The sequence below is a fragment of the Homo sapiens genome, chromosome 2 (assembly GCF_000001405.40).
Source record: "Homo sapiens chromosome 2, GRCh38.p14 Primary Assembly".
Lineage (NCBI taxonomy): Eukaryota > Metazoa > Chordata > Mammalia > Primates > Hominidae > Homo > Homo sapiens.
This window is the reverse complement of record NC_000002.12, coordinates 165640920-165657470: the sequence shown is the minus strand read 5'-3', so window position 1 is coordinate 165657470 and position 16551 is coordinate 165640920. Positions and strand designations below refer to the sequence as shown.

The following is a 16551-nucleotide window of genomic DNA, read 5'->3' as shown; positions in this document are numbered from 1 at the left end:
TGGCAGTATTTATAGTAGTCCCCCCTTATCTTTAGAGGATATGTTCTCAGACTTCCTGTGGATGCCTGAAATCACGGACAGTATTGAGCCCTGTATATACTATGTTTTTTCCTATACATACCTACCTAAGATAAGGCACAGTAAGAAATTAATTACAACAGCTAACAGTAAAATAAAGCAATTATAATAATATATGAACATCACTAGTCTTGTGCTTTGGGGCCATTATTAGGTAAAATAAGGATTCCTTGAACATAAGCACTGGGATACCCATGGCAGTTGATCTGATAACCGAGATGGCTACTATGTAACTAATGGGCCAGTAGCATAGACAGCACTGATGTGCTGGACAAAGAGAAGATTCAAATCCTTGGGGAATGGGAATGGGACAGTGTGAGATTTCATCACACTACTCCCAACAGCCTGCAATTTAAAACTAAAAATGGTTTATTTCAGGATATTTTCATTTAATATTTTTGGATTGTGCTTGACCACAGATAACTGAAACTGGGGAAATCAAAACTGCAGATAACCAGGGACAACTATAATTTCTCATTTCCTCTAATCCTTTGAACTTTGGTTTTATGACTTTCACAGGAGTTGTATTATACTATAATCAAAAAAGACACATAGTACAAACCCTCATACCTCGGATCTTATTTCTATGTGGAGGGTGTTTGACATTAAAACAAATGTCAACAAATTTTAGAAAATTTCAAAAAGCAATAAAAACACACACAAAAAGGCTCACTGGCACTATTTAGATATTTTATCAATCTAAATCTAATAAAACTTTCACTTGAAAAGACCAGTGTTCTCATTAAATAGCATTATGAACAATGGGATTCTAATGCAAGTATACATTGGGACAAATGAAATTGCCTGAGATATATCAGAACTACTTTTTCTTCTTCTTATTTTTTTAATTGACAAATAAAAATTATATATATTTATGATGCCCAGTGTGATGCTTTGATATATGTATGTGCTGTGAAAATGCTCAATCAAACTAATTAACATATCAATTATCTCACATATTGATTTTTTTGTGGTAATGATGGGAGCCTTTATTATTAGTTACAGGAACATCAAGATGCACGGAGAATCCAGGAGATGTAGACACTGACTGTAGTTGAGAAGAAGAGGGCCACACTTTGTAAACATGGCCTCTTGAAATTAGAAGCCATGGTAGAATCATCTGGTTCAGCCCCTTCATTTTACATTGAAGTAACCCAGGTCTGTAGAATTTGAGTGACTTTTTTTGATGTAGACTGTTAGTGAGACAGGTAAGCCTAAACCTAAAAGCTCCTAATTCGCTGCCAAATTATACGATCCACCCCCACTGGGGAAGGAAGGACACACTTAGTTGAGAAGAAAGAATCATGCTATTATTTTGCTAGCTGAGGATTTCTTCTCAGTTCATTATTTTTTTCCTATCTGCTTTTCTATTAGGGGTTGAATTTTGTCCCTCTCCACCAAATATGCTAAAGTCCTAATCCCGAGTACCTCGGAATGTAGTCTCTTTTGGAAATAGGGACTTTACAGAAGTAAACAAATTAAAATGAGGTCACTAGGGTGGGCCCTTATCCAAGATGACTGGTGTGTTTATAAAAGTTAAAATTTGGACACAGACATGCGTAGAGGGAAGATGATGTGAAGAGACACAGAAAGAACACCGTGTGAAGACTGACATGGAGATGGAGATTCTCCACCACAAGCCAAGAATGTCGGGGGCTACCAGAAACTGAAATGTGCAAGGAAAGATCCTTTCCCAAAGGTTTCAGAGGGAGCCGGGCCCTGCCAACACCTTGGTCATCTAGCCTCCCGAACAGTGAGCAGTTTCTGCTGTAGTAAGTCATCTTGTTTGTCGTCATTTTTACGGGAGCCCAAGGAAACTGATACAAGTGCTCAAGCAGAAAAATGAACAGAAGAAAATGAACTGAGAAGAAATCCTCTGATGGCAAAATGCTATAATTCAACATTTATGGAGTGTTTCCCATGTGCTGTACTATGCGGGGAACTTTACATGAATTATCTCATTTTATCCTTAGAACTCCCTGGTTGATATTACTCATGTCCCAATTGTTAGGAAACCAAATTATCAACGGTTAAAAAACATGGCCAAGGTCCTATAACTAATGAAAAAACTGGGATCTGTTATTCAGAGCACAGTCTTTTCGCTACCATATTTCAGCATGCAGCTGAGGCCACACTAAGGGAGGTGAGCAAGGCTGAGATTTGGCATCATACTACCTCTGGAAGATGTCAACTGCTGCTGGTTTCAAGACGATTTTGATTTGGAAGGCTGTGTAAGCAATGAAAAAAATTGACTCTAATTGGATTTAGGTAAGAATCTTCTTCCAAGGAGGTTCAAGCTCCTTTGTCTCATTTTTCCCCCATGAAACATTCAAGCCAAATATATAGAGGCTGCTATGATTAATATCATGTTATGGATTTGTTTAATCAGTAAGTACAAATTGAGAGCCTACTATGTGCTAGCCACTTTCTAGATGATTGGGATACATCAGTTAAAAACACAGATGATTCCGGGTGAGGCTGACGCCTGTAATCCCAACACTTTGGGAGGCCAAGACAGGCGGATCACCTGAGGTCAGAAATTCGAGACCATCCTGGCTAACATGGTGAAATCCTGTCTCTACTAAAAATACAAAAAGTAACCAGGCAGGGTGGCTCACGCCTGCAATCCCAGCTACTCAGGAGGCTGAGGCAGGAGAATTGCTGGAACCTGAGAGGTGGAGGTTGCAGTGAGCCGAAATCACACCACTGCACTCCAGCCTGGGCAACAGAGAGACACTGCATCTCAAAAAATAAAAAGAATAAATAAATAAAAAATAAATACACAGATGATGATCCCTGCCTGTGTGGAGCTTCCATTCCAGTGATGAGAAACTCTGACACAATGAAGAGACTCAGAAGATTAGAGAGTAAGAGAATTATGACCTTAGCACAGCAATTCGGCTTTCTCAACTTTCCTCTTCTCCATTGTTTTGCTTCTCCAGAAGATATTGCCAGAAAGTGAATGCTTTCCAACTTGTGCATAATCTTCCATTTATTTATGTATATATTCATTGTAACACACCTGTACTCCAGGCAGTAAAGAAAACTTTCAATTTTGACTTAAAAGTTCTGATCCATTTCATAACCATATGTTTAAATCATCTCAAAACAAGGAAGAATTTGTCGAAATGTAAAAGATCACCAGAGAAGGCAAATTTAACAATCTGCCCAGTAATCTGCTATCAAATCCAACAATCTCATACATTACCCCTTACAGCAGGCTAGAGCTTCTGGTTTTGTGATGATAACTTTCTATCTTTTTTGCTCTTGATATCATAAAAATGATGCCCTAAAGGCATTATTATTCAAGGCCATAAATTTATAGACAAGGAAAAAGGTTTGAATGTACTCATTTAAAATCATTATTATACACACCTCTGGTAATTTTTTTTTTTTTTTTTTTTTTTTTTTTTTTTTTTTGTGATAGAGCTTCGCTCTTGTTGCCCAGACTGGAGTGCAGTGGCATGATCTCGGTTCACTGCAACCTCTGCCTCCTGGGTTCAAATGATTCTCCTTCCTCAGCCTCCTGAGTAGCTGGGATTACAGGTATCTGCCACCACGCCCAGCTAATTTTTGTATTTTTAGTAAAGACAGGGTTTCATCATGTTGGCCAGGCTGTTCTCGAACTCCTGACCTCAGGTGATCCACCCACCTCGGCCTCCCAAAGTTCTGGGATTATAGGTGTGAGCCACTGTGCCCAGCCACCTCTGGTAATTTTAGTACTTACTTTTTAGACAATTGGTGGCACTCTCAACAAATTTCCTTTCTAAATGTATTTAGATCTCCACCTGCAGTTTGAGATTATAAGAATTCTTCACCCTTCTGGATGAATCTATTGCATCATGCTTTCCCAGAAAAGCCAAATTACCTTTTCCCTAAAAGCTAGAGTTTGGAAGTGATTTTCTAAGGCCTTGAAGACGACAATAGTGTCAGGGAGCAGAAGGCCTTCAGCTGGGCCCCTGGCAGAGCTGACACTGTCAAAAGGAATTAGGAATAGTGCTTCCTCCTATCTATTAGGGTTCATAATTCAAACATGTGTTTGTGTTTACTTTAGCATTTGCATATTATACATAACATTGTGAGAACAATGATTCAAAAGCCTATGGAATCTATTTAAAAGGAAGTCTTCAAAATACTACAAGATCAGCCTTACAGGGGATATTATAAGTGTGGCTTTCCTGAAGTTAAGAGCCACCCAAGTCTCTCTTCTGATGATTCAATCAGAGGACTAACATGAGCCTTTATGGGCTATCTCCTGACTCCAGGCCTTAATTTGACTAACATCACAAAATGAAGTCATAAAAAAGAGTCTCTGCCCTTTGAGCCTGGGAGAAGCAGACTAAATTCACTCAGCACATCTGCCGTAGGGAATCTGAAACCTCCCTGATATACCTACCTAGTAATTTGTGCCCTTTCCAAGAAGATTAAGCTCTACTTTGTGTCTCTACAGAGTTCAGTATTGGCTTTACTATAGCAAGGTCAAGAGCAAGAAAAGGAGGGAGGAGAATGTGCCTTTCGTGAGAGCTCTGAAAATTAATTAGTCTGTTTTTGGCCAGCGCGGTGGCTCACGCCTGTAATCTCAGCATTTTGGGAGGCTGAGGCAGGTGGATCCCTTGAGCTCAGGAGTTCGAGACCAGCCTGAGCAACGTGGCGAAACCCCATCTCTGCCAAAAATACAAAAACTTAGCCAGGTGTGGTGGTGTGTGCCTGTAGCCCCAGCTAGTTGGGAGGCTGAGGCACAATCATCACTTGAGCCCAGGAGGCAGAGGTTGTGGGGAGCTGAGATTACACTACTGCGCTCCAGTCTGGGTGACAGAGTGAGACTCCAGTTTAAATAAACAAATGAATAAAAATAATTAGTCTGTTTTCATACTTGATACCATTTTTTTTTTTTTAAGATTGAGTCTTGCTCTGTTACCAGGCTAGAGTGCAGTGGTGCGATCTCAACTCACTGCAACCTCCGCCTCCTGGGTCCAAGCAATTCCCCTGCCTCAGCCTCCCGAGTAGCTGGGACTACAGGTGCACACCACCACACTTTGTATTTTAGTAGAGAGGGGGTTTCACCTTGTTGGCCAGGATGATCTCAATCTCCTGACCGCATGATCCGCCTGCCTCAGCCTCCCAAAATGCTGGGATTACAGGCGTGAGCCACCGTGCCCAGCCTTGACACTATTTTTTAAGTGTCTTTCAGCTCCTTTTCTTTTATCCCAACATAATACCAGCCTGAAGCAAAAGTGTCTATATACAACACTACTATATACACTGCCCAGGTCTTGGGAACACCATTATGTTCAGCATATCTGGCCATATTGGTGTTACTGTAAAATGTTCACATATAGTAGAGATAATACTGATCTTTATAAATTAAATGAATAAACACACAGTTACTGATATTCACTATCTCCAGAAGCTACCTATCCTTAAAAGAATGCTTTCAGGCCGGGTGCAGTGGCTCACGCCTGTAATCCCAGCACTTTGAGAGGCCGAGGCAGGCGGATCACCTGAGGTTGGGAGTTCAACACCAGCCTGGCCAGCATGGTGAAATCCTGTCTCTACTAAAAATACAAAAATTAGCCGGGCTTGGTGGTAGGTGCCTGTAATCCCAGCTACTCGGGAGGCTGAGGCAGGAGAATCGCTTGAACCCGGGAGGCAGAGGTTGCAGTGAGCTGAGATCACGCCTTTGCCCTCCAGCCTGGGCGACAGAGCAAAACTCTGTCTCAAAAAAAAAAAAAAAAGCTTTCAAAATGAATGGAGAAAAGAATTGGAAAACTGACTAATCCACAATGCCAGGGTAAGAATATAGGCACATAAAATAATCTGTACTATAAATTATATAAAGAACGAACTCGTGAAAAGAACAGATTAAAAATGGAAACCAAAAACTAAGAATTATTCAGCATGTTTGCAGTATCATCCAGGGAAGCAAGTACTCTGGTGAAATAAATATTCTGAATATTCTGATCCCTACAGGGGATGAGTATATCAAGTATCACAGCTGATTCACACTAGGCTCTAGGAAAATTCAACTGATTTTTCTCTTTCCACACTCACAAATCAATCTGTTTATATAGTATGGAATAAATCTTCAAGTTTACCAGATTATCTGCCTGACTTGTCAATTTTATTTCTTATTGAAAATAATCAAATTTGCTTTCTGATTTGTGCTTTAGCCATTTGTAAACATTATTAGTGTATCATTCCACTTGAGTTTGGCCATCTCTGCATGCACACAGATAATCATATATCTGGGCCTGTAAAATTGAAGACCAGGTTCTGGACTACCAATTCCACCACAGGGCAACAACTCTGGAGCGAATGCTTGAGCAATGAGCTGGTCATCCTCTTTAAGTACACTTGTTGTTTTTTATGTCAACACCTATCAGCAAAGTCCTGCTAGAAAGGCAGAAAGCAGTAAACAGAGTTATGTATTTTGGCACATGGAGGTTGAAAGTTTATGGTCTAGTTTCATGTTAAATGAGAGAAGAATTGTGGAAGATATTAATTCTACCATTTGGGTCTAAAGTCAATAATAAACTTATCTCTCTTAAGCTGATCAAAAGGAAAATGCCAGATAATTTGCAAGTCTATGGTTTTGAATTTATTTATTTAGATGAAACTTAGTAGAAGTGAAATGAGATTGCTGAAATCAACTTGTTTTTCTTGGTAAGCCCTGGGCAATGAAAATTTGTGTTTTTAAATCATACAGACCAAATTGATCAGGGGCTCTGAAGTTGTGTGTGTTGCTTCTTACCTTTTGAAGAACAAATCAAGACTAAATCTGTTATCAAACCAGGAAGCTTAGCTTAAAAACAGAAGATCCAGTTTCACCAGAAATTATTTTGTATAGAAATTAGCATAACAGATTGAATAGTAAATCAATTTCCAATGATTGAAGTTATTAAGATTAACTTAACATTTACAAATGACTTCTGTAAATTTCCTGTGATCATATGCTCAAAGCTTCTCCAACTTGACATGATAGCCAAGGTTGGCTTCTCTTGATAACTGTGTCACCTACCTGATCTCATCTTAACCAAGTAAAAATGGGTCTAGCAACTAAGAACTATAGGAGTAATTCCTTGGAAAATGAAGTCTAGTTTGGTATTAAAAGCAATCTTTCCTTGTTCTAATTGTCCTTTTTTATTCCAGGCACATTCTCGTTTCCTGAATATACTTGCCCCAGTCGTCTTTTTAAATTTAATTTGCTCAAATAAGGTATTTAGTAATACATTGTTTAAGTGGAAAAAACTCCAAAAGACTTATACTAAAGAAGTATCGTGGGTGAATGAGAAGCAAAATGAAAATAAAGACTAATTGGGACTATTTTCTTTCTTACCATGAACAAAATCCAAATTACCTTAAGTATGTAATATAAGCTGATCTGTTATTTTACATTCAGTTATAAAGAGTTTAAAACACATACTAACAATCACAAACAAAAGAAAAAAAACCCACCTTAAACAATGGGCATGATGTAGGGGAATATTTTTAATTACCCAATGTTTTGGAATTAAGTTATTTTTCTTCCCAAAAGAATAATCAGAACTGAAACACAGGCAGTAAATGTAAAAAAGTATCTTAATGTACCTAAAGGACAACAAGTCAGGGGTCTTATTTTTTTCCTTTTTTACTATTGCTTATTACTATGAAAGTAGCATTCAAAAATAAAAATCAAGAAAAAGTAGCCTCCACTTAGGTGATGCTCATCATTTTTAGTCCAAGTCTATTTCTTGCTGATATATTCGGTTCCCTGTATTACGACTAATAGCTCTAAGTGCTATTAAAATTGTAGTGCATGTCTCTCCTCAGTCCTTAAATACCACTCTTCTCTATTTCTAACCAACCAACCAACTTATGTATTAGTAAAGCAGCAAGTAGACTAGACCATATAAAATATGATAGACACATATAAGAACCAGTTGTCATTCTGATATCATTCCTTTGGTAGAGGAGAACTAGGTTTATAATTCATACATAGGATTAGGTAGCATATCCATTTAGCTGTAAATATTTCCCATTCCTATATGAAATTGAAAATATTCACAATGGATTACCCTCAAGACTAATAATGTCTTTTGCACATTGCAGCTTCTGAGTGAAATAATTCAAGACAAGACTCTTTTGTTTAAATTGCTAGTTTACAAAGAAAAAAACCCTCTCATATAAGACTAAGTGACATAATAAGTATTCTATCAAGATATGTGCAAATACTGTGTATGCATTTAAACAACAAGAACAAAATAGCAAGAACAGAAGTAATATAAAAAGATGACCCTTGAAGCTGATTGACTAAAGCTTTGTTTTGGATCATGAACATGCATGTCACGTCGTCATCCATTCAGTCTGTCAGTTACGTCCACACAAGCAAGCAAGAGATATGCATGAAGGGAACCAGCTCTCCTCCCAGTCTCTCTTGACAGGCACAGCCCAGGCTGTTCAGCTCTCTGTAAGCTGAATTTGACTTCATTGGTTTGGTTTGATCGAATACTCATCTACTGAAAATTCTCAGGTTGGAAAAAAGTAAGGTTTATTGCCCAAGATTTTGATGTAAATTCTGAAAGCTGCATGTGAAAATTTAACACACACTTTGACCTTCCAGCCTTCATGTCATAAATAATTAATATGATTAACTCACAAAAGATGATCACTTTGCAAAACTAGCAATTGTTCATCCACACATTTTATTTTTTAAGGACGCCCCCTCCTCTTCCCCACTAATTCTTGTGAGTAATCTACAAAAAACAACAACAAAAAACGGCACTTTGTTTGCTAGGACAAAAGCAAGACATACCATATTTTAAAGTTATAAACTTGAAATTAAAAAAGCAAAAATTTAAGAGGGGGTACAGCTCAAAGGTAGAGCATTGGACTGCAGATCAAGAAAGCAAAAAAATCTTTTTAAAAAATTATTTTATCTTTTATAAATAATTTTTATATCTAATTGACTTAGCACTGATCCTCCTGCTTATGTAGAACTAACAACCCACTGAAAATATAATGTAACTGCAGAATGCCCTAGCCATCAACATAAAATGCAATTAATATTGGGGATGGTGAATTGTTAAACTAAAAGTTTAGATTAAATTATATGTAAAATTGTACCACTGAGTGATCTACTAATTTTTGTTCTAATTTAGATATATGATTTTCCTTTTGCATCAATAAATCAATCAAATTTATAGAACTAGGCATCATGAATTTTGGTGTTCCAGTTCTACATTTCACAATCAGTCTTCCTTTTGCTTCAATTTTGTTCTTACACGACAAATCACTTAAAAAAATTATATATTAAAATCCTTGAGCAAAATATTGGAAACACAATGCAATATTAATGTTTTGCTAAATATAGGCACTGAATTTTGCTCAGCTCTAACCAAAGCAGACCAAAAATTAGGAATTTTCCCCCCGTTCTATATAATACACAGAAGCTCCGTTTTAACTTTCAATGGGGTTACTTTCCAAGAAACCCATTGTAAGTTGAAAATATTGTTAAGTCAAAATACATTTAATACACCTAACCTACAGAACATCGTAACAGCCTAGCCTAGCTTACATATGCTCAGAATACCTTACATCAGCCTACAGGGGCCCAAATCATCTAATGAAAAGCCTATTTATAACAAAGCATTGAATATCTTATGTAATTTACTGAATACTGTACTGAAAGTGAAAAACAGAATGGTTGTATGGGTACTCAAAGTACGGTTTCTACTGAATGCCTACTGCTCTCTCACCATTGTAAAATCAAAAAATGTAAGTCCAACCAGCATTAAGGAGTCAGGGACTATCTGTACTCAGCTATCACCTGACGTCATTACTGTTGAGAACCATTTTAAAGAATTTTGATCAATGTTATCAGCTCCTTTCTCTCTCCACACTATCTATATATTTTAGATAACATTAATATTTTCCAGGGAATTTTAAAGATTTCCACACAGCCAATATTAACATTTACATATGGAACATACATTATTGAGGTATCTGCCTTTTCATTTTTAAAGGCTGGTTTTTTTTATTGTAAGCATGTCATATTGCTAATGAATTAGAGAAAATATTTTCCTATCCCAATGTCTGCAAAATAATAAGTTGTCAAATAATGTAATCGATTTAAAGTCTGAATTTTAATACTTGCTAAAATCCATTATACAAGTTATATTAATGAGCATCTGCATTTCTTAGTTCCTCCATTAATATTTTCAGAATTATGTTTATCTACCTCACAGGAATATTATAAGAAATAATTACATTTGTAAAAATCCTTATGAACCACAGATGGAAAGCATTACATATGCCGAGTACTATCTCGGTGATGCCGTTAAACCAAATAAAAAGTGTGTTCCTTTATTATCAGGGAGAAAACAAGTACCACCTACTTCCCAGCTTGTTTCCTTAATCTCTCATATGTGCAATTAAACACTAAAACTTCATGCTTAAGAAACAAATTTCACTGCCACTAAAGTAACAGTTATTTCCAAAATATATAAACCTATACTCTAGTGTTATTAAAATCTCAATATGAATAACATCTTCATATTATATCTTTTTTTATTGGGAAAAAAAGGTAGTTGTTACTAAACATAAATAATCACAGTTCTGGCTGCAGTCCAAGGTGTAAGCACTTCCCTCTGCTGTCTCAGCAATTCTCCTGATGTCAAAGACACATTAAAATAAATGGGAACCATATGGCTCCTCAGCAGAATACCCGCGCTGTTGCAACCAAGAGGGCAATGCAATTCATTACCACCATCGGAGAAATATTTTGGGGACATGGAATATCTCAGTGCAAAATAAAGCCGCATGAGGCATTCTGACACAATGACAGAAGGAAACATTTGCTATTCTTCAGCTCTACTAACCTGTTTTGCTGCGTTTTACATTTTCTCAATACCACCATGAGCCTCTCCTGTTACAAGGATTAAACAGCATTTTCCACCTGCTCAGTGACTTCCCAAGCAGTATTTCATCTGGTCCAACAATTCAACCCTGTCAAGCCTAATATATCATGATAATCCAGGTCAGAACATCACTTAAAAACAACAACAAAGAAACAAAACAAAACAAATCCTCAACAGCAACAAGAGCAACAAAAAAATTCTAAAATCTCTTAGAAATTATTCTGGAGAGCAAGACTGGGCCCAAAACCACATACTTGAACTTTTAACTTTGCTGGGAAGGATGAAATCTTGATGCATGCTTAAAAAAACAGAAATGCCATTAAATCTAAAAAAGCCTTTACTATACTTATCCTGAATAAAAATCTAAGTCATTAAAAAACAAAGGAGGAATTTAATTTATGCTGTTTTACTGGATCCATATGTCTGAAATTCTACATTTAAAATAAAGATCCAGGCTGGGTGCAATCGCTCATGCCTGTTATCCCAGCACTTTGGGAGGCCAATGCAGGTGGATCACTTGAGTTCAGGAGTTCGAGACTAGCCTGGGGAATATGGTGAAACCCTGTCTCTCCAAAAAAACAAAACAAAACAAAAAAAACACAAAACAAAACAAAACAAAAAAAACCTACAAGGCTGAGGCAGAAAAATCACTTGAGCCTGGGAGGCAGAGGTTGCAGTGAGCAGAGATCTTGCCATTGCACTCCAGCCTAGGTGAAAGGAGTAAAACCCTGTCTCAAAAATAAATAAACAAATAAAATGGAGATACAGGGCTGCAGAATTGGAATTAAAGCAGAGGTCATAAGGGCAGCTAAGAGAGGGACAGTTGGGTTTATTTGTGTACCCTCTGTTTGCTGGCTGTCAGTGAGTGATTTGGGAGGGTTGCAAATATCAAAAACAAAGGGAAAATTTTACTATAACTGTGATTTTTCTATAGATAGATCACATTTTAAAATTGGGCTTGCACTTCAAATTTTCTTAATCTTCTCAATTTCTGCTATGGTCTGAATGTTTGTGTTCTTCCAAAATTTATATGTTGAAATTCTAACCCCCAAGGTGATGGTATCAGATAGTGGAGCATTTGGGAGGTTGTTAGGTTTTGGGGGTGGCACTCTCATGAATGAGATTAGTGCCCTTTTTATTTATTTATTTATTTTTATTTTTTTGAGACCAGAGTCTCACTCTGTCGCCCAGGCTGGAGTGCAGTGGCATGATCTCAGCTCACTGCAGCCTCCACTTACCAGGTTCAAGCAATTCTCATGCCTCAGCCTTCCAAGAAGCTGGGATTACAGGTGCATGCCACCACACCCAGCTCATTCTTATATTTTTAGTATTGACGGGGTTTCACCATGTTGACCAGGCTGTTCTTGAACTTCTGCTCTCAAGTGATCCACCTGCCTGGGCCTCTTAAAGTGCTGTAATTACAAGTATGAGCCACTGTGCCTGGCCTTAGTGCCCTTTTTATAAAGAGACCCCAGAGAGACCATGACCCCTTCAACCATATGAGGACACAGCAAGGAGGTGCCATCTATGAGAAGTGGACCCTTACCAGACACCAGATCTACTGGTGCCCTTGAACTTGGACTTCCCAGCTTCTAGAACTATGAGAAATAAATTTCTGCTGTTTATAAGTTACCCAGTTTATGGTATTTTGTTACAGCAGCCAAAATGGACTAAGTCAATATCTAATCATTTTCAAAACTATGGATAGAAGAATTACTTGAGCACAATGTCTGGCATAGAATTATCACTCAATATCTACCAGAAAAATAAAATTGAGACTCAGCTCAAATGTCACCACCAGGAAGCCTTCCACAGAGTCCCTAGGATGAAGTAACTGTTCTTTCTACACATTTCCAAAGCATGCTTGCTTCGATACTGATAATAAAAATGTGAGCGTGTGTGTGTCTCTCTCCTCTACTCAGGCCTTGGGTTGCAAGGACTATATCTTACTATGGAACCCTCAGGGTACAGCACACTGCTGGGCACTAAAACTCACTTATATATGTTGGTTTAAACTGAATGAATGAATAATTAAACAATGGGCTAAATACATAAGCATTTATATTTCCTAAATATATTTTCTTTAATTCTGAATGATAAGATGACATTCAACAGTTCTCCCCTGAAGCCTCATGCTCAACATGTCTTTCTTCTTCAATAATTTCTAGTCACTTTACCTGTTTTCCTGGGGTATTTTTCAAAGAAAAAATTATGTATTGAAGCAAGGATACATGACTTTCATGGCTTGAGGGTACACATAACTTTTGCATTAGAAACCATTTGAAATATGCTATATTTTACATATCAGAAGACCTAACATGACAAACTAACCCTGGCTCCATAATCTCTAAACAATCCAACTATAATGAGTTTGTAAACTCATCTCTAAAAAGCAAGTAGCTGGTGGGGGAAGAGTTACCTGAATATTATAAATGATTTTGAAAGAGAAATCCTGCTGATAATGTATCACTAATTGGTACTGACCTCTAGCAAAAACACATGACTGAATTTCCTGCCGTTAGCAGTCAATTAGTGATGGTTTTACAAAATGATTCTGCCTCTTAGTACTTAAATTGTCATCTGTGCCTTAGAGGAGTGACTTTCCTATAAAAAAATCATATTGCTTAAGATTTATTAATTTCCTGTGAAATTTTATAATATACAGGCATGTGTTCTAAGATAGATAATTCAATGTTGTAGGGGTAATGGTGATGAGACATACGTAGAAGGCCTAGTTGATGGATCGTGAGAGAAGGAGCAGAAATAAGCAAAGACGATTTTAAATTTTATAAAAATATGAAATCATGATAGAACTGAAACATTATGGTCTAGAATATAAGTTGAATGAGGGCAGGGTTTTGGCATGTCTGGGACTGATTCAAAGTTATCCTATTAATGTTCACAGATGGTGGCAAAAGACATGAGACTCCGGGGTCAAAAACAAAGAACCTTATTATTCACAGCACAGGAAGCAGCAAGAGCATCATGTTTCTGTTGGTACTCCTTGATCCCCAAATTCTACAGGGGCAATGTGGAGGGGCCAAACAGATGCTATGCACATAGTGGGTTTGTACTGCACCAAAGGCTCAGTAAGCTTGGTAACCTACTGGTTTTTAGCAAGCAGTAAGCAAGACTGTTCTTTGTCCCAGAGGAAGACTTTTTCTCATCCCTCAAGCTTGCTTGCTACAAACACAACATTGAGAAATGGTCCAAGTAAGGACAGGTCAGGGCAGTACATTCTTTTTATCCTCAGAAAGATGTAGAAGAGTATAAGACACATGGAGGAATGTTTTCCAACAGCGTTTTGGTTTATTTTTTCATTCATAGATTCCAAGCATCTGGGATACAGTAGATATTCAATACACATGTGTTAAATGAATGAGTGGGGTTTATAGGTTAAAATTTTGTAATTTAGCTCATAGTGCATCATCTAGCAGTTTTATGTTATTAAAGAATCCTCTAAAATACCCATGGAAGAATAGAATCACTCTATAATCTTCTCTCTATCTCTCTTTCTTTCTCTCTTTCTCCCTTCTCTTTTTCCTGCATGTAGCTCCAACAATCTTTATCGGAGTTTCTAAATGACAGAATACAGCACAGAGCAAATTTGAAAAATAAAGTCATAAAGAATATGCAAGCTGGGCGTGGTGGCTCACGTCTATAATCCCAGCACTTTGGGAGGCTGAGATGGACAGATCACCTGAGGTCAGGAGTTCAAGACCAGCCTGGCCAGCATGGCAAAACCCCATCTCTACTAAAAATACAAAATTAGCCGGGCATGGTGGCGCATGCCTGTAATCCCAGCTACTTGGGAGTCTCAGGCAGGAGAATCTCTTGAACCTGGGAGGCGGAGGTCGCAGTGAGCTGAGATCACACCATTGCACTCCAGCCTGGGCAACAAAGAGCAAAACTAAATCTCAAAAAAAAAAAAAAAAGAATATGCATAATCATTTTTAGATTTCCCAGAAATTTTATCAATGCCACGTCTACTCTTATTAGACATTGCAATTCTTGCAAAAAAATAATCTCACAAGTAAATATATCATAGCTATCATATAGTATGTGAAAGCAAAATTCAAATCACCTGAAGAAACAATCTTTCCCTGTGAAGAGTCTAAAACTGAAAGGTTTCCTAAGGAATGCTTAATGAAGTGTTTTTATTCCTGTGAAATACATTTTTCCCCTAGGTCTCCTCAGAACTCACAGATATTTCCCTTTGCAAGCATCTTGCCAGAGGAGAGAATCAGTATAAAGCTCTTTGGAATCATTTTGGCAGCCCCAAAGAGTGGTATTAGCTACAGCTCTGCTTTCACATCTACAGGGTGCATAGGGCAATACATACATTATACCGTGTGTGTGTGTGTGTGTGTGTGTGTGTGTGTGTGTGTGTGTGTTTGTGTGTGTGTATTCTCAGGTACTACTGGATGCATAGAAACATCCCAAAGAGTCTATGTTTGTCTTTTATCTGTGCTACTCTCATGACATGGGCTATTTGTTACAAGAAATATTCTTTCCAAAGCCAAACGTAACCTCAGACTTGGACTGTAAAAAGGAAGGTATAAAGAGGTTTGTTTCCCCTCTACATTTTAAGAGTTTATATTTCCTTGGATAGAAGAGAAACAAAAGAGCAGAAGAATGCTTATACTGCATTTTATAAAAGCAGGATCCAACTTCTTTTACCTTTAAAGAGCACTTCTCAAAAAATTTCCATGTTTCCTTTATCATTTGGAGCAAACTAAAATTCCAAACCTTGGTTCTCAGTATTATCTACTAACCAGTTCCTCTGGCCTCTGTCTCAGGTACACAGGCTTCAATAACTCTAAATTTAATTTTTAAGTGATTTATATGAGCAAAATTTTCATCTCTGATCCCTACCAGAGACCAATTCACTCCCCAAAGGGTCTCTTGGTCTTTAGAGTTGGAAAAAAGGAAAAAGTGAGAAGAAGAATTCTTTTAAGGTAGACTTGCCTGCTGTGGTTCCCAGACTCCTGACCTTTGATTAACGATTCAGTAAGGATAACACAGGACATTTTTTGAGTATGTGAATAATCCTGGGAGAGTTAAAGGACTATTACTGTTCCCAGATGATAATGAATTTAATTACTTTCCTTCAACAGAAGAAGTTACCCTTTTGTCTTTAGTAAATCTTAGGAATTGAGAAAGACTTGAGGAGGTGACAGATAGCTTTCAGTAAAGAACTCTTCAGGGATGGGAGGTCTAAGCACTGACAATGCAGGGGTGCCCTAGGGCAGCTCAAGGGTATTAGAGAAAGATAAACTAGAACTGGTGAACCATTGTTGTGGTCTGGTTTAAAATTGCACACAATCGATTACTACAGCAATAGGTTTCCATTATTTATACATAAAATAAAGATATTGATATGCATGTTTAAACATTTTAATAATAGTGGTGTGTGACCACAAGTTTGGAAACCTACTAGGACACAAGAGATGGAACTATGTAAAAGATAAATGGATTGTTTTCAAGTGTTGCTTCTATTAGTGATGTTTTATTTGTATGCTTACCATGTGTCAAGGACCTTTCTTATTGCTTTATAGGTATGAATTCATTGAATCCT

The 16551-nt window shown here is 37.5% G+C and overlaps 1 protein-coding gene across 6 annotated transcripts in view; it reads right to left on the bottom strand.

Annotated features, from left to right (window-relative positions):
- CSRNP3 (cysteine and serine rich nuclear protein 3) overlaps positions 1 to 16551 on the bottom strand; it is a 219710-nt gene that overhangs the window by 31937 nt on the left and 171222 nt on the right. The gene's annotated exons all lie outside the window — the stretch shown is intronic.